The sequence below is a fragment of the Homo sapiens genome, chromosome 2 (genome assembly GCF_000001405.40).
Source record: "Homo sapiens chromosome 2, GRCh38.p14 Primary Assembly".
Taxonomy (NCBI): domain Eukaryota; kingdom Metazoa; phylum Chordata; class Mammalia; order Primates; family Hominidae; genus Homo; species Homo sapiens.
The window spans coordinates 114,746,528-114,774,278 of record NC_000002.12 but is presented as its reverse complement, the minus strand read 5'-3'; the positions used below and the strand labels follow the sequence as shown (position 1 = coordinate 114,774,278).

Genomic DNA, 27,751 nt, shown 5'->3' with positions numbered 1-27,751 from the left:
CTTGCCTAAAAATTGTTCAGACTCACATTAGAGTGTCAATTTCATCATACATGTCTCTAAATCACTATAAAGTATGAGCTTCTTGAGGACAGAAATACTATTTATTCATCCCTGCATCCTCATCTCCTGGCACAGAATACAACCCACAGTGCATGTGTTGAATGAATACATATAAATATGTGATCGTTCTTAGCCATCAGGTTACTAGTATTCACTTTCTATTTCTATTCAAATACATATATATCAAATAAATATACATATATACATACACATACCTATATATCAAATAGAATATATACTTTTATATTTGATAAAGTTTAAAAGTTATACTTCAAAAGCTATAAATATATACTTTTTGATATCTATTTGAAATATCAAAAAGTATATATTTATTTTTTTGTTCACTAGCAGATAACTATTTAAAAAAGAAGCAATACAAAATAGAGACTGTATCTATATGAATCACTCTACAATTAATTGTATATGGATTTTAATATATTTTAGATCTAGCCTTTTTGTGGTTACTTTCAAGGGACCTTAGTAAGTTCAGATTCTTAAAATCACATCATGAGTCATCACTGCCTTCTTTATGGAAATGCAAAAGCCTTAGAAATGTGTTAAAAATGGAAAATGCTTGCTTTGGTTTTATATAATACCTTTCAATGTAAAGGACATTAATTTAAGTACCTGTTGTGCTTGGCTCCTTTGAGAGAAGTTGTGAGCAGGGCTTGTTTATTGAGTCTGCATTGTGTGTGAAACCCATTACATATGTTCATTTAAAAAGTCAGGCCTGTTGAGTTATAATTTGTATAAACTAAAAGTCCGTGATGAGTGTTCATTTAAAAAGTCAGGTCTGTTGAGTTATAATTTGTATAAACTAAAAGTCCGTGATGAGTGTTCATTTAAAAAGTCAGGCCTGCTGAGTTATAATTTGTATAAACTAAAAGTCCGTGATGAGTTTTGACAATGTAAATAGTTGTGTAACTACCATAACAATTAAGATAGACAAAAAGCATATCACTCCTCGAATTTCCCTTGTGCCCCTTTTTAGTCAGTCTGCTGTTCCCACTACCAATCACTGGCAAATATGGATCTAATATTTTCCTAAGGTTTTGTCTTTTCAGTAATGTCACATAAAAGAAATAACACAGCATGTAGTCACTTTGCCTGGCTTCTTCTACCAGATGTTCTAATGTAATCATTACTAGACCTTATGAAGTAGGTTTTGTTATTTTCATTTTATAGATAAGAAAATGAAGGCTTTGAGAATTGAAGTGACCTACTCTCTCTAAGCCAGATTTTAATCCCCCAAATTTCATAAACTACAATAGGCTAAAGAAGATAATACTTTGGGGAAGATGTTGCTCAAATCTCATTACTTAAGTATCTGCTGGAACCCAGCTAATGCTGGCATGCTGGAACATAAATGGAAGCTCATTGAGTCAGCTCCATCTGGTTTCAGAATCTTGGCATCTAACTCAACATGTGCTTAAAAAAATCATGAAAGGAAACAATTCATGGTTAGCCACCAGGAGATGGTCCTAAGGCTCTGTTGACCCTACTTCTTAAACTGAGATTGAGTCAATACATTTATGCTTTAGCTGAAAAAAAAAAAAGGTATGAGGTGGAAATCTTAAGGAACACACATGAGATATGGAAAATTAATCCTCAAAGTACAATAATTACGGAGAAAGTTCCTATACTGTAAATGAGGATGACATAATTATTTACCAGCTTAGGTATGTGCATCCTTCTCTCTGTCTGATAAAGGCCTAAGTCAAATATGTTCTGTTTTGATTTTTAAAGAAAATAAAAAAGGTGGCTGGGTGCGGTGGCTCACACCTGTAATCCCAGCACTTTGGTAGGCCGAGTGGGTGGATCGCATGAGGTCAGGAGTTCGAGACCAGCCTGGTCAACATGGTGAGACCCCATCTCTACTAAAAATGCAAAACAATTAGCGAGGCATGGTGGTGCATACCTGTAGTCCCAGCTACTCGGTGGGCTGAGGCAGGAGAATAGCTTGAATCTGGGAGGCAGAGGTTGCAGTGAGCCGAGATTATGCCACTGCACTCCAGCCTGGAAAACACAGTGAGACTCTCTTTCCAAAAATAATAATATTAATAATAATATTAATAAATAAAATAAGGACATAAAGATTTAGAACTCTATACTATGAAAAAATAATTTTATGTATCTCAGCTCTTTTAGCAAAGACTATTAGGGTAATCCCATTATAATAAAATAACTGTGGAAAAAGATTATCTCAGGAGAAATTATTTAGACTCTAGAATGAAGAATTTTCTTCAATAATTAATTTTACTTGATACCTCTTACTGACCGTACCATACTGGCCTGAGAGTAAAGGGTGTTTCAAGACGTAATCTGCTTCCTTGGAAAAAAAAATCTAAAGTGTTTATTAAGTGTTTTACTATGTGTCCAGGCCGTGGGACTCCTATACTTTTTAAGAGTTGGAAACTTTTAATATTTTCTTAGCCTCAAATCAGACTGAGATTATGCATGACTATGGAAACATGCTACTCTTGGAAGTGTTGGAAGTGTTGAAAATCACATGCTCCCTTTTCCACTTCAACTTAGAAGTTCCAGTGATGTTGAACAAGTGAGTTTCCTCCCGGCTAAGACGGAGCCTCCTTCCTTCTATTCACCTATGGGTGCTATCACTAAAGATAGAAAGAGATCTTTATCTTTCTTGGTATCCAAACAATCGCCTTCACAAGATCGTTTGTGCTCTTTGAAGACGCAACCACATGCTAACTTTGCTTAGTCAAGTTTCTTATTCTTACAAGGATGGACTCCCTCAGGTAACAGGTGATGCTCGTTGCCGAATCAGGAAGCAGATGATGAATCTGGTTGGTAAAACAACGAGGGATGTTCAGGTGGCTTTGCTATGAGAGCAGTCCAGGTGAGGAAGGACATACTTCTTAGGTGTGACTGCTGTCTCCTGAGCACTGGTATGATACGGCCACAGTGAATAGCCCTGCAGTTGGGCTAATGGCTAATGTCTCCTGCAACCCAAATCTCAACTGAGACGATTTCAGAATGTAGCAAGTTGTCAGCTTCTTCTCAGTTAACACATAAAATGCATACAGCCAAATATCTGGCAAAAGTTCAAGAGTTCAATTTTCCTCAATTACTGATGCTTACAGGATTTTTCTTAACATATTCTAAATGAATTAGCTCTGAAGAATGACCCTGGCCATAATCACAGCACAGTGGGTAAGTGTTTAGACTTTTATATCAATTAAACATAACATTCATATCCAAAGTGTTTTAGTGTATCTGACAATAAAACCTTTTCCACCATTGCAGTCGTTTTTTCCCATTTGATTTTATAACCACATATTTCTTGCTGAAGGATATCAAGGAGATGTGGCCAAGACATAAAACTCATTTCAAAAATTTTGAGTATATGAGTAGTTCCTGGAATCCTGATTATTCCTTGTAGAGAAGGGACCTACAGATGAAAGAACAATAGCAAAAATTCTATAGCGGGACTCAAGGTATAAAAGAAATTCAGAGCTAAACAATGGCATTACTGTTCAAGGCCAAAATTATGCTTGATGTATAAGATTTTTCTACATTTTGTAGCCCATGTGCTCCCTCCACCCCAGTTATACAAATGTGCAAGTATCATGTCTTCCTTTAGTGTTTATTTGCTCTTTAAATATAAATTAAGCTCCTATAACTGAGATTACTAAATAAAGGAGAAAGCACATTTTTGGTTTTACGGCACGGTGCTATTTTTATTTTGCAAAAGTTGGGATCCATTCACTCTCTTACCACCATTGTGTGAATGTCCCCATTTCTCATGTTTCCATCTAGTTGAAGTATTACTACTAGCATGTATATGGATTCCTACAGTAATGTAAAAAAGTAATGTAATTCCTAAAAATAAATTAATAGTACCACAGTACTGTTGTTATTGTTCTTCTCTTCAATCATATAAATCCTCCCTTTTCGCTATTACTAGGAGCCTTCTAGAGGTATGAGGTCCCCTTAGCTAGCACTGAACCATGGAATTAGAACCCTGATCCCTCTTCCGGGCTCACTCTTCCCCAGAGAGGCAGGAATGCTTCCCATACAACTGCTGCCTTTAGGGGAAGAAACCCTGCATGGGTATTTTGGTACTCTATTTTTTCTCTTTGTCTTTTAGAATCAGCTTGCTAACAACAACAACAACAAAATGGCATCTTTTAAAACCATCCTGCTGTGCACATGGGATTAGGCTTTGTTCATGTTGGGGAGAACTGTGGTTTTCTAGCATTGCCTGAAATTGAGATCAGTTAGTGTTTCGGTCTGTGTCAGGCGTGGAGTCAGCAAACACCTTTGGCCAAAGAGCTAAAACCTAATTTTCCAATGAGTTCAGGAAAATGACACTGACATTCTCATCTTCATCTGTCTCCCTTTTCCAATGTCTTTGGGTATAAACTTGAAAGATAAAAAGACATTTGTATGTCACCTTAACTCCCTGTGTATGTGTGTATGTGTGTGTGTTGTGTGCATGCCTGGACGTATATGTATACACTTGCATATGAGGAATATATGTTCTTTTACATAGGTATTTACATTTCTATTTGTAATAATCCAAGTGAATCATACTCTAGTAATGAGAGCACATTTGACCTACTGAAAATTGTTAAACAGGTAATTTGACTTAGGTTCTGTTTATAGAACCCTACTAGTAACAATACTTGGCAAAAGCATCAAAACAAAATTCAGCAACTTCTCATCACCTTGCTTCCTCATGCATACTACCTATTTTCATTTTGAACCTTAAAACAACCTTATGAAGTGAGCCTCACTGATGCTAGCTTCCCTGTATCGAGGATGGAGGATTTGAGGGTTTTATTTTTTTCAATATCACACCACCACTAGCTTGCGGAGGCTTCTGGCTCTGGGGGAAGAGTGGGAGAGCATTTGCAGATTTTCCGGTACAAATACTCCCCCTGTAGTTGATGACAAGTTGCCAACAGTTAACCACCAGCTCAGAGAATTCAAACAGTTATCAAGCAACATCCACTGCAAAACAGCCACTAATCCAAGCCAAGTATTCTGATTCCTGGGTTTTATCGGCCACACCACTGTGCCTCTTCAGGTGATTCCTTCATTCATTTAATCTACTCTAAAACTTCAAACTGTATTTCTTAATTCCGTCCTCTAGATTTATGCTGTCAATGCATTCTCTAAGCAGCAAGCAGAGAGATGACCCTACTATTCCACTCTTAATTTAGTCTTCCTCTTGATACATAAAAATATGTAAGAGGTTCCCCATTGCCCTTGGGAATAAATGTCAACTTCTAAAGTGCCTTATAATGCCATTCAGGATCTGAAATGTGATTTCCACTATCATCTCATAGCCCCTGCCCTACCACTAATCTGATTCAGACAAAGTGAAATTTATCTGAATATGAAAATATGGAACATTCAATATTTTATCAAATATTGAATGTACAACGACCTTGCCCATTTTGGAGTCCTTTAAGACAGATCCTGGGAACACTTGCATTATCCTGTGTTCTGTAATTTGACCCTCTCTTTCTGACAGGTGGCCCTGTGGTAGGCAGAATAATAGCTCCCAAATATATCCACATCCAGATACCTGGAAAATGTGACACTGCAAAAAGGACTTTGCCGATGTGATTAAGGGTACGACCCTTGAGATGGGGAAAGTATCCTGACTTATCCAGGAGGATCCAATCTAATAACACGAGCCCTTAAAATTAGAGAACCAACTTCAAATCCAGATGATTTGAGTACTTTAAAACACTTTAACACTGATCCACCTCTGACTTACATGAAACATTATTCAGCATATATTCATTTCTAAACCTCACACAGAGATTATTATTGTTGTCGTGATCATTTATTCTTAAGGATAATGCCTGTTATATTTGCTTACACACTTGCCAATTTCTTTACTCACCATTCTCATTTAACTATCAAACATCCTGGGAATCTCATTTTTCTCCTTTTGGAATATATCCTTTAGAAATTCCTTTGGTGGAAGTCTTTTGTGATACAATCTCTGCTTTTATCTACCAGAAAATGTCTTTATATCAATCTCATTTTGCTTGGTATATAATTCTGGATTGATTTTTTTTTTTCTCTGAGAACTTTTTTTTTTTTTTTTTTTGAGACAGAGCCTTGTTCTGTCGTCCGACCTGGAGTGCAGTGGCACAATCTCGGCTCACTGCCACCTCCACCTCCTGGGTTCAAGAGATTCCTGTGCTTCAGCCTCCCAAGTAGCTGGGATTACAGGCACCCACCACCATGCCCGGCTAATTTTTCTATGTTTAGTAGAGATGGGGTTTCAGGTTTCATCATGTTGGCCTGGCTGGTTTCAAACTCCTGACCTCAGGTGATCTGCCTGCCTCGGTATCCCAAAGTGTTGGGATTACAGGCATGAGCCACCATGCTCGGCCTCTCTGAGAACTTTGAAGATAGTATTCCACTGGTAGTCTTGCCTATTTACTAGAAAAGCTTACTCACAAGCTAAATTAATGGTTCTCAACCCCTGGAATCACATGGTGAGTATTAAAAGTTCTTATGTCTAGGCCTACTCCCAAAGACCATGATTTCACCGGGGTGAGTATGGCATTTGATAGTCAAAAGAACCTCATGGAAATTATGATGTGCAGCCCTCTTTAGCAACCCTTGGTCTAAATGATTTGGCTTTTTATGTGATCTCTCTTTTCTCTGAATGCTTTTAGTATTTTCCCTTTCTGTCTTTCCTTTGGTGTTCTACTTTTTCTATAACATGTCTACATCATGGGCATCCTTTTAATACTCCTATCTGTGGATTCATATCATTCATCATTTTTTGGTACTATAAATTACTATTTTTTAAAATTTCGCCTCTCCTCCATTCATCAATTAGGTCTATGTTAGACCTTTTTATTCTATCATTCGTGTCTCTTAGCACCACTTTCATATTATATATTTCTATATTATATATTTATATATATATATTATATATCTTTATTTTTGGCTATTTCCTTCAAATCTATCTTTCACTCTTTCAGTTTAAAACTTTTTTTTTTTTTTTTTTTTTTTGCTTTTATCCTACCTGAGCATTGGCTGTCTAACTATGGTCTTGATACTTCGGTGTGTTGTTGTTGTTTTTTAATTTTAGCTTTAAGCTTTTTTTTTTTTTTTTTCTAGTTTTGATGTAGTTTTAGATCCATGGGAAGTTGCAACAAAAGTACTCAGAGTCCCATGAAATTTTCACTAGTTTCGCTCTAGGAAATTGACATTTGCACACTGTTAAATAGATAACTGACATTATTCACTGTTCACCATTTTTACCTGAGTCCATTTCTCTCTCTCTCTCGTGTGTGTATGTGTGTGCGTGTGTGTGTGTCTGTGGTGCTATGCAGTTTCAGCCTAACTTCATTCATGTTACTACCACTGCAATCAGGATGCAGAACAGTGTCATCATAGGAAAGAACTCTACCTATATTCAAATCCTACCCCTATCTCTGCCCCCCTGGCAACTATTAATTTGTTCTCCATATCTACAGGTTTTTATATTATTGTTATTTCAAGAGTGTTACATAAATGAAATTATACAATTTGTAATATTTTGAAATTTGACTTTTTCACTAAGTGTAAAGCTCTTACAATCCATCCAGGTTATTGCTTATAGCAAAAGTTTGTTCCTTTTTATTGCTGAGTAGTATTCCATTGTGTGAATGCATTGGAACCTGTTAACCATTCACCCACTGGAGGATATTTGGGTTGTTTCCAGTAAAAAAAAATGCTATAAATGTTAGGAGGCAGGTTTTTGTGTGAATAAAAGTTCATTTCTCTGGAATAAATGTCCAAGAATGTGATTGCTGGGTTTCAAATAGTAATTGCATATTTAATTTTACAAGAAGATGAAGACTTTTTTCCAGAGTAGCTGTATCATTTTAAATTCCCACCAGAAATGTCTAAGAAATCCAGGGTCTCTTAATCCTTGCAAAACGTTTGGTATTATTTTTATTTTTTATTTTAGCTGATGAAATGGGAGTGCAGTAACTCATAGAATTTTTAGTTTCAGTGATGATGGTTTCTGAGAGTTCCATTTAGGTCTTTTCCAAATCTGTTTAATTATTTAAAATAATTTTTTATTCCATGCTCATTTTTGTGTTTTAGCTTTTATTTCTTTGATCTTTTCATATATTATTTTATATTCTGTATATAATAATTTTAATTTCTTAAGTCCTTGAGAGTCTAAATACGTTTCTTATTTCTGCAAACACTCACTCATGGTGGTTTACATATTACATTTATTGCTTTGAGTTTTAATGTGAACTCACATTTGATTGAGTTTAATCTGTATGACCCCTGAGAGGCAAAAAAGAATAAGATTTCCTCCAGTTAGGATTTTTTTATTACTTATGCTTGGAGCCAGAGGTTGTTACTGACATGAAACTATCCTAGCCTTTGTAGATCTGAATCAAATGTAAGAGTCTCAGTTTCATTTCCAATATTTTCAATGAAGTTCCCAAGTTAGCTTCCCAGTCTCAGCACTGATAGCAATAAATGCACCACAGTAAGCTGGAATTTCCAAATTGTTCGATATTATATTATTATTTTAAGTTTTAGCTAATTATTGTGTGTTTAGGCCGTTGGAAAATTTCTTTTCTCTTTTGAAATATCAGAAAAGTTCTAAAATACAATGCATGTTACTTATAATTGATCTCAGATTTTTCCGACTGTAGTAGGAGTGTCTTTTGAAGCCTGTCCTCGGCCACAATGCCTGAAGCATATGCTCGTGGCTCCATCTCTCGTATTTGTTGTACTTGTGCCCTAGTAGTGCCTCTTTGTTCACATAATGCTCACTTACAGAATGAATGAGCAAGAGTGAATAAATTAATTAGGTAAATGATGCAATTCATAACCTCTTTGGGATATATCAGAACCATTTTTAGACAGCTTTTGCTCAGAAAATTTCCCATCAAAAAATTGAGTGAATCTATGGTATGTTTAACATCAAGTTTTTATATGCATTCCCCAACGACACATAATTTTACCACCACACGAGTGTAATTATTGTATGGTTAAAAATGGATTAAACGTGCAAAGTACAATTTTTAAAAATTGATAATGGTCAAAAGGTAGCTACTTCTGAAAGAATAAGAATCAGAAGAAAAAATGAAAATGTGCCATGTTACAGGCCCCCTCATAACCTTTGGAATATACAGAGCTGGTAATTCCTGATTGAAATGATGGCCCCAATATGGACCAATCATTTGAAACCATGTTCATTCAAAAGCTGGAATTCTACTGCTACACTGTACACAGAGTGGCATATGTAATATGTGGCATATTACAATAGCCTAACCCCTCAAGGTCACAATAACTAGAATTTTCCCCACAACATTCTTACCATACTCAGTATAAATGAAGTTTTTTCCTTCTCTAAAATTGCATTCATAAATTGCAAATTTAAGCCAAAATATTAAATGCATAGGTAGGTATAGGAAGGAAACACTTTCCCACTCAATCTAACTGGTGGTTTATTTAACTGTTGTTTTCTTTCTTTCTTAACACATCAAAATGTTATTTATATGGGGCAACATTGTGTTCTAACCCAAAATAAATATTATAAATTTATCTTCTTTATATATTTGTATACATATAATTTTTTTCAATCTTGATGCATTATTAGGCTTCATGGGGACAAATATAATTAATTAAATAGAACTTTTCATCAAATAGAAATGCCAGTACTTCCATTTTACTGACCTCATACACATTAGCTGGGTGACAAATTTAAGCAATGGTAGAGACTTGAGGAAATTTGATGCTATAAAAAGTCTGGAACAATTCTAATGTCTTTCTAGGCCTACATTTAAAATTTTTTAATTGTATGGATAAATCTTAATATCAGTACCTTTGAGATCAAAACTGTTTTTTCTTTTTTTTTTCAAAATAACTCAGCAAGAAAGAGCCTGAATGTAACAGAAACATGATAAAAAAAAAAAAAAAAGGCAATTTAAGAGGCCAGCAGTTGCAAGGAAATGAAAAACAGTGAGCTATGTCAAGCACTGCAGTATACATAATATAAAAATATGCAGCTTTTCAGATTAAATGAACTATCCTCCCATTTTTGATGTTCACTGCAATATCATTTAGTAATACAGTTGAAGACTTCCTAGTAACTATTTAAGCAGTATTTACCAAAAGTAGCTGCATAAAGAGAGCAAGCTTTTGATCCTCATGAAACAGTTTTCAGTATTTGATGTGCTCTTTTCAGTGTCCCAAATTTAAAAATTTCTTTCTGCAAAAGAGCCAGGTCTGTGGAGATAATATAAAGGAAAGAGTACTCTGGAGTCAAACTGCAGCCAGGGTCTAGGATCTTATCAGAGAGGCTGACAATGATGAGATCACTTGAAAGAGTAATCTCTAGGAAACAGAGGATGGAGGAAAGAGTTTTCAAGACTTCCATATTCAAGCTTGACTGAAAATCTATCAGCCTATGTAAAGCTAGAGGCCACATATGCCAAATTCTCATGGATCTGTTGCTGATTCTCCCTCCCCCATTCTAATTGCTACTGGGATATGTGCATTATAAATGTTCCCATTAAACATGGTCCCTTCTTTGGTTTTAAGGATTCTTTATTAACACTACCAGATTCTTTCCAATTGGAACTTATTATCATATATAATAGACCACGAAGTCTCCTTATATTGGCTTTAAAAAAAAATCTTTGTAAAATGCAAAGATTTACTTTGTACATCCAGAAACATACTTTAAACCAGGAGAAAAACAAATTAAGTCAGGATGTGATAACACAGTATATTGAAAAAGTTAATCACTTTTGAATTCATTTTGTGAGAAGTACATACTTTGATCTATAAATTATGAATTGGCCATTCTGCCAACCAGTGTTAGCGCCCGCTGAAGGCCATAAGAGGAAAAAGAAAAAGAGTGAGACCTGACTATAAATCGTGTCAGTGGTTTCTTCTTCACTCTCAGGATGAAATCCAAGTCCCTTAGCGTGACACAAAAGGCCTTTCATGATTTTACCTCTTTTCAAGCTCCAGAGTCATTTCACAATCTGTCCTCACATGTTTTCAGCACTCCAGCCAGACTGGCCTGCGGTATCTCCCAAAGCACCAGCCCTTTCATGGCTTGATGCCCTTGAACACACCACGTCCTCCTAGAATCTCTATTTGCTGATCTTTTTTTAACCTGGAAAATTTATCCTCACCTAGAAAGTCTCATCTGAGGACTCAGCCCTTCAAACACCCCACATCTGAGTGAAGTGTTTTTCCCCCAATCTCCCAATGACATATGACATATATATATCATAACCTTACTGGACCATATTTTATTGACTATTTTACTCATCTGTTTCCTTCCCTACATTTTGAAAAAGTCTGTGTCTCTTATCTCAACATTCCCAGAACACATTAGATTATCAGTCACATCACAGATGCTCAGTAAAAGAATACATTTCACAGCCTTTTCACTGTTTTGTCCAGGTCAGAAACAACCTCTTGTGCCTGGGACCATTTTATTCAGGCAGTGGTTAAGGCTCTGCTCAGAATGTTGTTATGGATCTTTTCTGATGCTGCCTCATAGCATTTAATTGTTCGATTTGTCTGTCTGGTTATTGGCAGCCTGCTGGGTGTTAGGAGGGAAACTCATAGCTATTTTAAGAGCTACTTATTGAGTCAGTCTTGAAAGTTTTGTTTATCATTTTCTGTGTTCTGCTTCCTTTTATATTCCATGGGACTACTCAAAAGCATTTAAAGCCATCTTCCAATTTATTTTTTCAAAGTATATTTCCAGCTGAGTTCTTTTTTATTACTTAGTAGCTCCTATTGCAGAATTCTCAGACTGGCTTTTAGGAAAGTTCACATCATATTATTTCAGCTTCTTAGTTGTTTATACCATTATATCAAGCAATGCAACAGGAGGGAGAAGAAAGTCAGACTCTTTTAGAGGTTAGATAGGACTGCATAGCAATTAGAGTAAGCAGAAGAAAAGATGTAGAAGAGGCATAGACATCTAAGTGGATTCTTGATCTAATGCTTAAGGCTTCCTCCAGAGCTGCTCTTTAAGAGGAGAAAATCTCTGTTATGAATTTATCCTTACCTTAAGAATGTGCCAAACCATGTAATTAAAGCTAAGAAGGTGGTGGATACAGGAGAAGCAAATAAAAGCAGTGACTCAGAGGCGTAGCATCTGCTTCATGAATTTCTTCTGGGTGTGCTTAGACGGGGGAGAGTGAATCTTCAAATGAGACAGGGAAAGTAGCAGCTAGCACAGTGTTATTTCAGAGACCCCACACTGGCTTGGCTGCCTGGCTTTCTGTCTCTGTGGAGCTGCATTTCCTATTAATATCCAAGAGAGGAAAACAAGTTACATTAGGTAAAATGAAAAATCAATGGGTTTCCTTATCTGAAGTCTTCTCAGAGCCCTCACTTGGAATTTGGAATTCCTAGGAGGAGGATTGTCAAATGGTAAAGCAGTTTCTTAGCAGTAATATGGTGGGAAGTGTCTGCAGTGGTTTCCATACTTCCACAGATTTGGCTGGTAAGGAGCCAGTGAGCTCAAATAGATTTAGACAGTTTGTTATTTTCATCACAGGAGGCATCCTGAGCTCTGCGCTTTCACTGGTTCCCCGCTGCTCCTCAAGTCCCCTGGGGGTGATATGCAGAGGACCCAAAGGATGCTGTGCACAAAGGGGTCTAGGTTACATCTGAGAACACTGAGCTTAGGAAATTCCCAATCTTATTACAACACAGCTAGCAAACCCATCTATCTTGCCCTACAGAGAGAGATATTATCTGTAGTACCCAGGAATACAAGCATACGAGCGAGTCTCTTTAAGAGGGGAGAAAAGTGCCTCTACTATTCTGGAATGCCTCCTTATACAGTCTTAAATTGACTATAAATGCTTTTGCTCATAAGACTCAGACTTTATAGAAACATATGAGATCCAGGGAGAATTATCTCCCAACAGGGATATAATATATAGTATTTCCCAGATTTACTTAAATTACTGAAAGTACGCCATCTTTTTTTTATTTGCTTTTCTTGCTATTTAAATGCTTAATTAGCACTCATTGGAATACTGTACACTGGCAGAAAGAAAAGCACAAAGGGTTTGGAGTCAGATACCTTAGGACAAACTTAAAACTGGCTAGTTATACGACATTGGGCAAATTTCTTAAGTCAACTGAGCCCCAATGTTTTAGCTGCAACACGGAGAAAACAACAAAAAACTGAAGTGCTATCAGAATCTATTAATGTATGTGATATACCCAGTAAAGTCAAAGTAGTCAAGAAAAATTTTTTGATTTCCCTTACTTTACTTATTTTTCAAAACAGCTATCCTTTTTGTTTCTAAATATCTTAATTTTCTCAGAATTTTTTGAAATATTCTACTTTCAGAGAGTTTCTTGACTATTTCCAAGTAGAATGAGTAAGAAACAATATTCAATCTTTATGAAGTCAGAAATCGAGTTGCGCTTTTATCCTTTTTAATAGGAATTTCACTCATCTTAATGATATAAAATTTCTTCTGTCTAGAACAAAATTCAAAATACAATTTTGGCAAATCATATGGCATTATCCTAAGTTAAATAACTGTATTTACTTATGCTACAGGGCAGCAAATGTGAAGACAGTGCATCTTATATAAGGCTTCCCAGAAGCAGGGTTTGAGAGATAGGTACTTGTCCAAGTGGGAGAGGGCCTAGGAAAATATATATATATATATTTAATATATAGATAAAAAACAGTAAGGAATTGAGGAAAATGAAATACTTGTACTTCCAGGTTAGAAGTTTGTTCAATGAAGACCTGCTTTAACTGACATCTGTTTTCACTGTACCTGATCCTACAGGTATACCTGGAGTCTGCATGGTACCACAGGTTTATCTCACCTCAAGTTGAGGAGCCAGCCTTTGGATTTCTGTTAATTAATTGGCTGGGGGATGCACGCCAAAGGGAGGGTGCGCTACTCTCCCAGGTATTTTCCTATATGCTAGGACGGTTCTCAGAGGAAGGATGCCACTGGGGACTATTAGCAGCCAATGCTCATAGCTGCTGGGGACTATTAGCAGCCAATGCTCATAGCTGCTGGGGGATGGACGCACCTGCCTGGTAAAGAGGATCTGGGTGGGCCAGCAATGGCATCGCCTGCCTGTGGAGACCAGCTGGAGGGACTTCTACAGGATTAGCGTTTATGGAAGAGATATGATAGCTCAGATTAGGGTGGTAATGGTGCAGGTGGTGAGAAGTGGGTGACTTGACGATTTAAGAAGTAAGAAATATTGAAGCTAAAATATCAATTGCTTCTCTGTGTCTTTTCCATATAACTGATTCCAAATTCTGTTTATTTTATTTTATTTCAAATTTGTCCGTCTGCTTCAATTTCCAGAGATCTCTTACTTGCTATTTGGCCTGGCACTTGGACATCATCTTGTGCTGACCCACCCCCATCACTGCCCACCCCCACCAGTTCCTGGCAATTTTCCAGGCTCTGTCTAATCGCATATACTTGGGAATTCTCATTTTGCACTCTTGATCTCAATTTATTCCTCTGGCATCTGACCTACTGCTGCCTAAACACTTATAAATCTTCTGTGATCTGCTTTTCTGGTCCAAAGTACTTGCCTTGTCCCCACAACCTTCTGGTTGTGAAGTAAGATAGACAGAGGGCCACTTTCAGACATGGACCCAAAGAACTCCATAGAAATTCTTGCTAGAGACCTTAGTTTAGCAGTGGCCACCAAGAGACAGCAGGAGGGGAAGATAAAACTAAAGAGTTTATTAAAAGAAAAAAAAAAAAGATTTACAGCACCCGTCTTGGACTCCTTAATGTAGAAGAAAGTAAATATACTGAGTTCCACTGTCTGAAAGATAAGAATGCTTTATAGACCAGTTCCTGCTTTATTCACTGTGCTCGTATGAATGATGCCAACTGATACAAATGCCATGAGGAATATCTAAAGACAGTCACTGTTCTCTGTTTAGTCAGACTGCAAATGGTTTAACTACAACCACAATAGTTCATATCCAAATGTTTTGGTGCTTCATATGGAAAGCATCAATTACCAGGAAATTTCACTTTTCTGGGTAACTGCCTTTTTCTTCTAAGTATGATCAATATATGTAGTTACTGTAATTAAAGTTTGATTGACTGGAATACTTGGAAAGTGGTCTTTTCAATAACTTCAAAATTAACCTAATTTGTCTCAATAGTCTTGTTGAAAGTACTTTGAAAATGCATTAATCCATTTCTTATCTTGCAAATGAAGCCTTTGAAAATAATCCACTTTTTGCTTGATAGCTAAAAGGACCACAGGTTATCTGAACATCCATTTTCACTTAACTAGATTACAGATATGAAAGGCATAGGGGGTTGCTTTGAAAGTTTTTTGAAATTTCGTTTTTTAATTTCACGATGAAACCTTATTTTCTGACCCTTTTTGTCATTTTCTGACAAACTAAGTGCAGACAACATACATACAGTTGAGATTTCTGCTATTTTTCAGTGTGATTAATCAAAGTTTTGCTGTAAAATAATTCATTTTATATGCAAGACATCTCTAATTTAGCCTTTTTTTTAACAGAGAGGAAAAATTTGAGCCCATACATTTATTTGAAATACAATTAGAATAATGGAAACCTCTATATCTTCTTAGCATTAAAGACTGTAGAACGGACAATTAAAAGCTATCTCAGATTAATACTATTACAATGTCATGAGTAATATAGGCCTGGCCCTCTGATTTATCATTCACCATTACTGTATAACTTACTCAGAAGCTACGCAATGAGGAGGGGTGATAAATTAACACAGCTATGAAATTTTAAGTAGACGAGGGAAAAAACCCTCAGATCGGAATGCTTCTCAAATAAAGACTTCAACTGTCTAAAATATGATTGGGTGAAATGGCAGCTTGGGAATCTGCTCAGCATATGCTATGTCAATGGTGCCTACAGAAGTGTGGATGGCTTTGGGACCACTCTTGAAGGTTACAATATTAGGGAAGGATTGTTTGGTAGAAAGTGAACAGAGTTGGGTAGGCTGCATATACCAAACTGAAAACTGCTTTAACTGACTTTTTCTTTTTTAATCAGACAAAGTTCTGGCAATCATCAGATTTGGGATTGTGTGAATTAGCAAAAGTCTGAATCTAAAAGTCATCAAGAGAAATAATTCCTCTTGAAGTTCACATGTGGAGAACCACGGGAACTCTGGAGTCAGGCAACACTGAGACTGTGTATAACATAGAGGGAGGCTCACACTTGCAAGACCAGCTTATTCAACTTCGTTGTGTGAGGACTTGGGGACTCTATGGAGACAGACTCCACAGGACTGTATTTGTGTGTATTTGCATGGAAAGGGAGTAGGAATTGACAGCTATTTACTAGCTGTGTTTCAACCAAAGTAAGTCGACTTTTATCTACACCAGCGGTTCTCAAGCTTGAGGACACATCGGAAACACGTGGAAACGCTTGCAAAATCAGAATGCTGGGCCCTAACCCCAGAGTTGCTGGTGTGGTAGGTCTGGGGCAGGTTGTGAGAATTTGCATTTCTAACAAATCCCAAGATGCTGTTGGTCAGGGGACCACACTTAAGGCTACTAATTTCTGTTATATATATTTGAGGAAAGTATTCTAAAGCTAAAAACATCAAATGGTAAGTTAAAAATGCTGCTGAAGCCCTCATACAAGTAGTCTCCCTGGCACTTCTATCTTTCCTTTTTGTACCCTTTCTCTTAGGTCTCTGGTACCTGAACACCCTCAGCTGCCAAAGGCACAGCCTGGTATGCAAACTAATTGAATCATTCTTATTAATGAATCTTTTTTCCTTCCTTCCTTCTTTCCTTCCTTCCTTCCCTCTCTCTCTCTCCCTCCCTCCTTTCCTTCTTTTACTTCTCCCTCCTCCCTCCCCCTCTCCCTACTTCTCTTCCTTCTTTCCTTCCCTCCTTTCTCCCTTCCCTCTTCCTTCCTTTCTCTCGCCCCCATTCTTTCCTTCCTTTCTCCCTCTTCCCTTTCTTTCCTTCCTTCCTCCCTCTTCCCCACCCTTCCTCCTGCCCATTTTTCTCCCTCCCTTCCATCCCTCTTTCTTCTTTTCTCCCACCTCTCTCCCTCCCCACCCCTCTCTCCCTTCCTTTTTTCCCTTCTGTCTGCCTCCCTTCCTCCTTCCTTCCTTTACTCCCTCTCCTCCTTCCTTTCTTCATTTCTTTCTCCCTCTCCTTCCTTCCTTCCTTCCTATATTCAAGACTTGATATGTTGTGAGCGTTAGGCTAGGTGCTATGTATTTTAATGCAATCAAACCCTTGAGGACTGTGTAACCTCATATGTAATCACAGGAAAATCAATGTACAAAATACCTCAACGGGGCTTCCTTAACTCTTTTGCTAAGAAATAATTTTTCCTAGGAGTATAAATAAATGTTTCATTTTAGAGGTAATATTTGAACTGGTTCTTTGAGTAAATTTACTCAGACAGGAAAAAAAAAAGTAGAGATTAAGGGAGAGACTGTGGTCTTGCCATATTGAATTGGCACTACTTATGAAGACTGAGGTCCTATGAGGATGAGGCAGTAGTTCATCATCTTTCGTAAATGTACGTCCCATGCTCTTCTTGGACCTGCCCTACAGAGACTGTGTCATTTGTCTGCAGTGGGGTTTAGACCCCAGTGCTTTAGGAAGATGCCTAGGTAACTCTAACGTGCAGCTAGAACTGAGAACCAGTGTGAAATTACTTTTAATTGTTCATTATTTTAGAAGCATTCGGATTGGATGACTGATTTGGAAAGCTGACTTGAGTTGACTCTCCAGTTTTCTTATCTAGGCATAACTAATTAATGTGTTCCTCCTCACCAGCTTAACTGTTGCCAACCAAACATCCTTGGATCATCTCCATGATTCCCTGGGGTCTATGAGGGCCTTCTCATGGAAAAATTCCTGCCTGATGTTGCAGATCCCCCAGGGAAAGCTAGACACCCTCCTTTGCCTTTTTCTGACTGCACACACTTTCATAACTTGTATGCATGTCTTTCTTAGAGACACCTCTACCTTTCCCACTCTTCCAGTTTGAACTATGATTTTTAGAAAAATGTTAAACTAAGCAACTACAAATCACTAAGCATTTTACATATCATCTCCTTTAGTCTTCACACTAATTTCTCTTTATAGTTTCAAAACATTGCCTTATATTGTATTTAACATTTTCATATTTCTATACTTGTTCTCAAGATTGCACTTTTTTTAAGAGCAAGTACAATCTGCCTCTCTTAGGTCAGGGTTGTTTCTCCCATCAGGTTTTAATTTCTTTTTTTTTTTTTTTTTAATTTCTTCCTAGCACTGTCTCAGACTATTTTAACTACTGACACATAGAAAATACTCAATAAATATTGACTTCAATTGGTCTTAAAAGGAAAAATAAAGATATGCAAAAGAACAAACTGAGGAAAAAAATAATTATCATGAATGCATGTGTGTGACTACTCCCTATTTTAGCACATTTATCTTTCAGAGCCTCTCACAGGCTAAATTCTTCTTTGCCTGGGCCTTCTGCCTTACAGTGCTCTAAGTCTGAAAGTTGGCTCCACTTTATTCTGCATTCTTGGTTCAGAAGAGTGGATAGGATCTTCAGATTCTATCACAGTAGAACACCTCACAAAACACACACACAGTTTTCCTCAATTGCTATATCCTGTTTGCTTTCTTCATTGCACTTAGCACAACTCATCATTTATTATCATCTTTCTTCCATTAGATTATAAGTACCTAAAACAGAAGTTCAGAAACCAAACCTGCTTTAGTCAACAATACTGATAGTTGCCGGATATGGTGGCACACACCTTAGTCTCAGGTACTCTGGAGGGTGAAGCGGGGAGGATCACTTGAGCCCAGGAGGATGAGTTTGCAGTAAGCCATGATTGTGCCATTGCACTCCAGCCTGGGTAACAGAGTGAGACCCTGTCTCTAAAAATAACAACAGCAACAAAACAAACAGTGTAACCACTTTCTAGTCTAATGCTAGGTACACAATGGAGGAAATTCAATAAATATTTATTGAATGAATAAGTTAATGAATGGAAACTGGACACTAACATAGATTCACTTCCTGGTCCTGCTAACCAAATAAGATTTCTCCTTTATACTTGTTTAAACAGCTTACCACTTCAGAAACAAAATATCCAACTAGCTATTAGTCATAAGAAAAGATAAATATGATCTTACTCAACTCAAATAGTCAAGTACATGTTTTTATTAAGTTGTTCTGTCTTCATAATCTTTATTTTATTGCAAAATAACGTGTGATTTAGAAACATGACTAAAAGTTAACCATTTATATAAATATAGCCCCTTTGTTTGCCAGGCCATTTATTTAGCATGTAAAACAGTATCCCAGTTTACATTTGAAAAACATGCTTTTCTTGGTTATTTTATTTCAAAATCCCATGCAGGTTTGGTGCTTATCTATAGCATACTAACAGTCTGGTTAATTGTTTGTTAATTGCTTCCTAATTGTTCCTGAGAAAAATCAATGCTTAGAAATGCCATTTCCACACGAGTGAACAGGCTGCCTTGGCCACAGACTTTCCTGACCTAGGCCGCATGCTAGAATCATCTGAAGAGCTCTTAAGAAAATATATATGCCAGCCTCCACCCTTTGAGATTTGAAGTTTATTGATAAAAGGTAGAGCTTTGCTACTATTTTTAATGCTCCCAGGTGATTTGAATGTGCAGCCACCATCAAAGAGAGTCATTGACTTAAAGAAAGAAAAATAACTATGCTCCCTCACAGGATGGACTGCTTACCCTCTAGACTTAGAGACATGCCCTGACATTCAAATCAATCGAATCATTATACATAAAAGGCAGAGAAATTGCTACTAGTTATGCTCTCAATGCCTGCGAACTGAATGGGCAATGATATAAAAGACTACAGCGTGGGGACCTTTTAAGTCTGGTGATTGGCTCAGGACAAGAACTGATTGTGAACAGAACAAGTGACCACCCATCCAGGTGTGTCCGCCTGTCTCTCGGGTCCCTTGTACTAAGCCTCGGCCCATGCTGTTCCCCATCCCTCAACTATCCTTACCCTGTCCCATGATTAGCAGTTGGCTTTCCTCCTGAAGCCAACCAAAGCCACAGATTTCCTATGGAGCCACTATAGAAAACTCTAGCTTCTTTCCCAATCTTCCAGTTTGAACTGCGATTTTTAGAAAAATGTTAAACTAAGCAACTACTAATCACTAAGCATTTTACATATCATCTGCTTTAGTCTTCACACTATTTTCTCTTCATAGTTTCAAAACATTGCCTTATGCTGTATTTAACATTTTCATATTTCTTTTCTTTTTTTTTTTTTTTTTTTTTTTTGAGAAGGAGTCTCACTCTGTCACCCAGGCTGGAGTTCAGTGGCGCCATCTGGGCTCACTGCAAGCTCCCCCTCCCGGGTTCATGCCATTCTCCTGCCTCAGCCTCTGAAGCAGCTGGGAGTACAGTCGCCCGCCACCACGCCTGGCTAATTTTTTGTATTTTAAGTATAGATGGGGTTTCACCGTGTTAGCCAGGATGGTCTCAATCTCCTGACCTCGTGATCTGCCCACCTCGGCCTCCCAAAGTGCTGGGATTACAGGCGTGAGCCACCGCGCCCAGCCCATTTTCATATTTCTATACTTTTTCTCGAGATTGCAGGTTTTCTAAGAGCAAGTACAATATAACATATTTTATCATATCAAGTCACAAGGCTAAGAGATGAAGGAAGACAGAGAAGGAAGGAAAATTGTTATATGGAGAGTCCCTCCTAGATACAAAGTGATAGCTTGTTTAATCCTCACAGCGATCACTGGAGATAAGACTTACATTATCCCAATGTTGTAGGCATAACACTAAGGCTCATACGGGCTAAATAACCAGTCTAAGCTGGGATAGAATTTGAACTCAATTTAGTTACTGATTAAACTCATTGGGGCAAAAAGCCTGGTATTTGGTGTGGGAGGGGGTTGGCAAGCTTGGACATTAGTTTCTTTGGGAGGAGGGCTATTGATTGACTATTCCTGTTTCTAAGGGAGGGACATCCATTAGCCTAGCTCATCCTACCTGATCTTTCTTGAGTCCCTCATTTCCTGCATTATTTGGGAGTGTGGAGTGTTTTACCTGATTGTTGGGTTTGACAGAAGGAACTGAGCTTGCCCACCTCCTCCCCTTCCCCTCCTCATTCTCTTCAGGAGCTAGCTGCCTGCAGGAAGTGTGTGTCCCCACTCTGTTTCTCCATGTCTTACATTTTCCATGGGCAGGTCCCCATCAAGGGATGCTCACAGGATCCAGTGCTGCCCGTGAGTGGGTGCACATGTATGTCTAACTCTGGGGTTCAGCCTTAAGAAATCCATTGACAATCTCTGCCTATACCATATTTCCCCATTTCAGCTTCATCAGCAAACCTATGATTTTACTTTCCTTTCCTGTGACTGCCATTTCTTAATTGGTGGAAAACGGAAGCAAGTAAAACAGGGGTGTCATTCAATTTGAGTGGTTCTCTAAGTGTGGTCTGGTACCAGTCCTATGAGTAACAGAACGTTTTAGAAACACAAGTTCTCTGGCCCCACCCTGGACCAAGAGTCATTTTAACAGCCCTGCAGGACAGTCTGATGCCTGCACAAGTGTGAGCACAGTGAGAAGCTCTGCTATGAACAGAACCTTGAGTCCTGCCTCCTCAGGCTCTTGGCGGTGAGTAACAAACTGATATCTTTACTGTACAGCTATAGGCAGGAGCCTTAGTCTGAGACCAGGCACAAGTAATTTCAGGATGATGTAAAGCAGCCTGTCTGTCAGTTTTTAATTCGAGGCTCTAATCTGAGTAGTTGGGTCATTTTCTTTTGCTTTGTTTCATTTTTTCTTCTCTATTTCTATAGAATTTCAGTGTCTAAAAGGTTGGGAGACGTTCTTCAACTTTGGCAGGATTTCTTTTTCTATCTTACAGATACCTGAAGAGTAAGAAGATGATTATCTTTCGACTCCCATCCCTGAAAAAACTGCCAAGAGAGTAGGGGGAACCAGCACATGGCAGGGGAAGGGGCAGCAACCTGCCCTTCTGAGTAGTGACAGCTCAAATCAGTTGGGAGCAGCAGGCTAAGGCAGTGGTTCTCAGTGTGTAGACCCTGACCATTGGCATCATTTGGGAACTAAGTAGAAATGCAAATTCCTGGCCCCACCCCAGACAACTGCCTCATAAATTCTGGGGGTAGGAACTAGTAACTGGGGCCATGCTGCACATGCTGTGGTCTGGCACAATAGCAGAAGCATCACCTGGGAGCTTCTTAGAAATTCATGTCTTAGGCCCCATGCCAGATCTACTGACCTATTCACAATCTGCACTTTAATAAAATCCCGGGCGACTGGTAAGCACATTAAAGTTTAAAAAGTACTGGTGTAGAGTCAAGGATGCAAAAGCCAAATCACGGGGCAGGAGAAGAGAACAAGATTTTAATGAGGTTTTCAGCTTAAGCTCCCAACATGTAAGTTACAATTTGGAGAGTGAGGCTGGAGTGAGGAAATAGATTGAAACCTGGAGAGAGGTAAAGAAATCTCCCAGGAGCCCGAAGCACCTGTTTCTATATGCTCTGCCCTCGTTAACCTTCTGCTAGCTCATTGGTGAACGCCATTGTGCTTAGGTACTTGCCTGGGCCTGGACCATCACTAGGGACTTATTGTATCTCATTCCACTACATGTAGCTTCGCTAGCAACCTTTTCAGATCTGCATTAAATTTCTGGCCAAACTTCTTTTGAAATTCTTCTCACAGCAGGGCAAGACTCCCTAGATGTCCACAGAAGGTCATTTCTCAGCCCAAACAGGTAGCAGCCTAGGATCAATAAGGACCAAATGAACGCTGAGCATTTAAACCTGTGGCTGGGGTGTGAATAAGTAGTTGGAGAAATTGTAAAAAGGTCAGGTAGCAAGTACTAGCTTTGTAACTAGCAAAAGCACTTGTATATATTTGGCATTTTGCAGAACCTTCAAGCTTAGTTTGATTACTTATTAAAATTATGGTAGGCCAGTGGGGAGAATCATGATAATTTGTATAGGTCACAGATAATCAGAAGTGTCTCTCCCAGTGGGATGAAACTTATTAAAATTCGTTATTTAAACCTCTTTGCCATTTCCACATTCTGCGCACATGCAAAACGACTTGTCCCTATCTTGGTCTCCAAGGAAAAAAGCAGACATCTTCCATTGTTCTTTGTTTGGTGCTAATTAACATTTTCAAGAGGGTTGACTTAGATGCAGCTCTGTATACCCGCAAAGCAATCACTCCATTCAACTTCCAGATCATAGTTTTATCACATTAAATACTTAGGTTTTAATATTCAGAATGTTTAGATAATTTCAACTGGTGTCTCCAAAACTTGTAATCACATACAAATAATCCTCAGCTTTAGGCCACCAATGCTGAGGGGATAAAATGCTTTGTGAGAGACGAATCCTGTTATTTTTATTGTTAGCCTTCTGTTTGGAATAATGTAACTCCTATTCCTGAAAGCCAGCCAGCCAGCATGGACTAATTTGGTAGAATAGGCTGGCTGGCATCTACCCAACGACTCTCAAACCTGGAGGAACACTGGGCTCCTTGAGGAAGTGTTAAAAGTATTGATGTGGCTGGGAGCGGTGGCTCACGCCTGTATTCCCAGCACTTTGGGAGGCTGAGGCGGGCGGATCACGAGGTTAGGAGATCGAGACCCTCTTGGCTAACACGGTGAAACCCCGTCTCTACTAAAAGTACAAAAAATTAGCTGGGCGTGGTGGCAGGCGCCTGTGGTCCCAGCTACTCGGGAGGCTGAGGCAGGAGAATGGTGTGAACCTGGGAGGCAGAGTTTGCAGTGAGCCAAGATTGTGCCACTGCACTCCAGCCTGGGCGACACAGCAAGACTCCATCTCAAAAAAAAAAAAATATATTGATGTCTGTTCCCTCCCCTCTAAAATACTGATTAATCTGGTCTGGGGTGAGACCAGTTTTTTATCTTATTTTTTTTTTAACAACTTCCAAAATTCTGGTGCCATTGCATGGAGTTGTTTCCTGTCCTCCACTCAGCCTTCAACATACTTTGCCTTCATGACATTTTTGCCTTGGATTACTTGACTCTCCATTTTTTTCACAGTTCTCCTATTCTTTCCCATTTCTTTTATGTACTTTAAACAAACATATAAAAAAGTATTTGATACAAAACACAGAAAAGCACAAGGGAAAAAACTTAGAAAATACACATATTTCTACCACTAAAGGATAATTATTGAGAACATTTTTATGCCCATGTTTCTCTGCATCTGAACACATATATTTTCTTTACAAAAACTTATCACACTAAATATACTCCTTTGTAGCCTAAATTATTTCCTTAACACAGCATTATGTGGAGGATCTAGGACAAATTTACAACATAATTTGGAATGATTGCAGTTGTGCCATCATTGTATGCAGCATCATTTAGTGTACTAACGCTTTTCTCTTTGGCGTTCATGTATTTTTTGATATTTAAAAGCAGTGCTTGGACTGCGTGTGGTGGCTCATGCCTGTAATCCCGGCTTGTTGTGAGACCAAGGCAAGAGGATAGGAGGCAGAGGTTGCAGTGAACCAAGATCGTGCCGCTGCACTCTAGCCTGGGCGACAGAGTGAGACTCTGTCTCAAAAAATAAAATAAAATAAAATAAAATAAAATAAAATAAAATAAAATAAAATAAAAGCAGTGCTAGAATAAGTGTCTTTGTTTATATACCTTTTCTAAATCTAATAATTTTTAACCATTATTGATGGGTAAGAAAAGAGGTACATGGCACAGGACTGGCAGTCATTGGGCAAGAAAGGTGCTGGTGAAAACATAGAAGTAAAGCAACCCATTCTGTTCTGGAAGTTGAGTCTTTATAAAAGACATGGCTGGGAACTCCAGATCTTCAGCTCATGTTAGAAAATTCCCTTTGTCCTAAGGGCTAATATCCAGAATCTACAATGAACTCAAACAAATTTACAAGAAAAAAACAAACAACCCCATCAAAAAGTGGGCGAAGGACATGAACAGACACTTCTCAAAAGAAGACATTTATGCAGCCAAAAAACACATGAAAAAATGCTCATCATCACTGGCCATCAGAGAAATGCAAATCAAAACCACTATGAGATATCATCTCACACCAGTTAGAATGGCAATCATTCAAAAGTCAGGAAACAACAGGTGCTGGAGAGGATGTGGAGAAATAGGAACACTTTTACACTGTTGGTGGGACTGTAAACTAGTTCAACCATTGTGGAAGTCAGTGTGGCGATTCCTCAGGGATCTAGAACTAGAAATACCATTTGACGCAGCCATCCCATTACTGGGTATATACCCAAATGACTATAAATCATGCTGCTATAAAGACACATGCACACGTATGTTTATTGCGGCATTATTCACAATAGCAAAGACTTGGAACCAACCCAAATGTCCAACAATGATAGACTGGATTAAGAAAATGTGGCACATATACACCATGGAATACTATGCAGCCATAAAAAATGATGAGTTCATGTCCTTTGTAGGGACATGGATGAAATTGGAAACCATCATTCTCAGTAAACTATCGCAAGAACAAAAAACCAAACACCGCATATTCTCACTCATAGGTGGGAATTGAACAATGAGATCACATGGACACAGGAAGGGGAATATCACACTCTGGGGACTGTGGTGGGGTCGGGGGAGGGGGGAGGGATAGCATTGGGAGATATACCTAATGCTAGATGACGAGTTAGTGGGTGCAGTGCACCAGCATGGCACATGTAAACATATGTAACTAACCTGCACAATGTGCACATGTACCCTAAAACTTAAAGTATAATAAAAAAAAAATTTAAAATAAATAAATAAATAAATAAATAAATAAATAAATAAAATAAAAAAAAATAAAAAAAAAAAAGAAAATTCCCTTTGTCCTACGTGAACAAATTTGGATGCTCAAGATGCATGTTTCTCACGGGTCCATAAAGGGAAATGCAGCCTGCAAGCAGTTTCTGCTCCCTACACTAGCACTTCTCAAACTATTCTGGTAAAACAAAAAAACAAAAACGAAAACAGATTTTTGTTTAATTTTGTTTTACTTCCAGTTTTTCATGGATATATACTTCTGTAAAATGGAATAAAAATAAATGTCTAGAAAAATAAAATAAAAATGACAGATAAAATGTGCAAGTTTCTATTTTTTTATTACTGGATTCAAGTCATAAAATTTCTTTGAAAAATTGCTATAAATATTTTAAGAGCTTACTCTCAGTCTCTACACTCAATTTCATGGGGGGCCAGTAACCAACAGTTTACAGCTTGGCACTGATAGACCGTAATTTGAGTGGCACTGGTTTAGAGCACATTCTCCGAGGAATGCATTAACTAAATGAGATGATCTAGTGTTTACATGAGAAAAAAAAGTTCCCTAGAAAATTTAGAACAGAAGTGCAAAGTTCAAATAAGTATTTTTAGGAATTGAATGAAATAACCAAGTGGGACTGTAGTAACCAAGAATAATACTAAAAATACAGAAGCCCATGATCTCCAACTGGAATGATCCAGAGAAGAAAGAACAAACTGTGAAGAATGGGAAACTCATGAAGCATTTCATATTTTTCTGAAAAGTTCTAATTTCTGACTTAGGAATGGTTTCAGGTTTTCCCCTTACAGCCATGTGTTAAACTGTGCTCATACATTTTTTGTATTTCTATATATTTTATCATTTTAAAATGCCATACATACATGTGTATGCTAATGCTGTATATGACAAATGCTTCTATATCAACACAGTTGAATGCAGCTAAGTGATGGAAAATGTACATTGGAGGTGACTTTGGTATATTTATATTCAAAAGTATAGTATTTGTGTCTAAAAATCCTTTCAACGGCCCTTAAATAAAGGATCTTATAGTTATCACACTTACAAAGGATAAAAGACTGATAAAAAGGAAGACAGACCAAAGTCCCATTTTTAATAGTGAAGGACAACAGTTTATTATTCTTAAAGGAAAGTTATCAGGTAAGAAGCATCCTAAAGGAATAATACTGTGTGTGTGACTAACATCTAAATGTGGAGAACCGGGGATGGGAAAGGGCAGACTCATCATTCTCCCTCAATTCTTCTCTTATCTATATATGAGTTACTTAATGAGAGAAACAGAGAACTCTCCTTCACTTGACCTTTAGTCTAAGATGACACAGTACATCATTCAGAACTAAGTGATATTTAGAGAGTATTCTAAGAATGTATACACATATATGTATATATCAGTGTATATATAGTGACTAGCCTAGGGAAGTCTCTTTTATGTTTCAACCTGAGTTTCAGAAACAATGTTTCATTGACAGGTTTTGTTTTTCTGATTTTTATCCATTTTATGCTTAAGTGAAGAGGGGGCATGAGGCAGCTGAAGAAAGATAATAGCATCTTGTTCCTTGTGATTACTCATTCAGGTTTCCATTTCCATTTTGTCATTGGAAAACTCCTAGAGCAGCTTGCTTTGATTCCTTATTCAGAGTTCTAAACAACAATCTGTTTCCTGGCTCTCCTTTGGGGTTTGCTCATCAAATGCAAAGGAAGAAAGAAGCTCACTTTTTCTAGCATCATTCTCAGGTCAACCTTTCATAGCCCTATGTTCCATCCCTGCAATCACCCTAGGCTCCAGAGACATCAAGTCCAGACTTCCATCTCCTGAGGACTGATCATGCAAGACTGAATTCCGCAGC

General features: G+C 37.9%; 1 protein-coding gene across 10 annotated transcripts in view, besides 1 other annotated feature; it reads right to left on the bottom strand.

Annotated features, from left to right (window-relative positions):
- DPP10 (dipeptidyl peptidase like 10) overlaps window positions 1–27,751 on the bottom strand; it is a 1,403,140-nt gene that overhangs the window by 1,071,502 nt on the left and 303,887 nt on the right. The window lies entirely within an intron of this gene.
- Window positions 3,982–4,509: an enhancer, noted in NCBI's record as "NANOG hESC enhancer chr2:115527347-115527874 (GRCh37/hg19 assembly coordinates)". NCBI's record gives its function as "activates a minimal SCP1, AML or CMV promoter by ChIP-STARR-seq in naive H9 embryonic stem cells {active_cell/tissue: H9 hESC(naive)}" and the evidence as "EXISTENCE:reporter gene assay evidence [ECO:0000049][PMID:30033119]".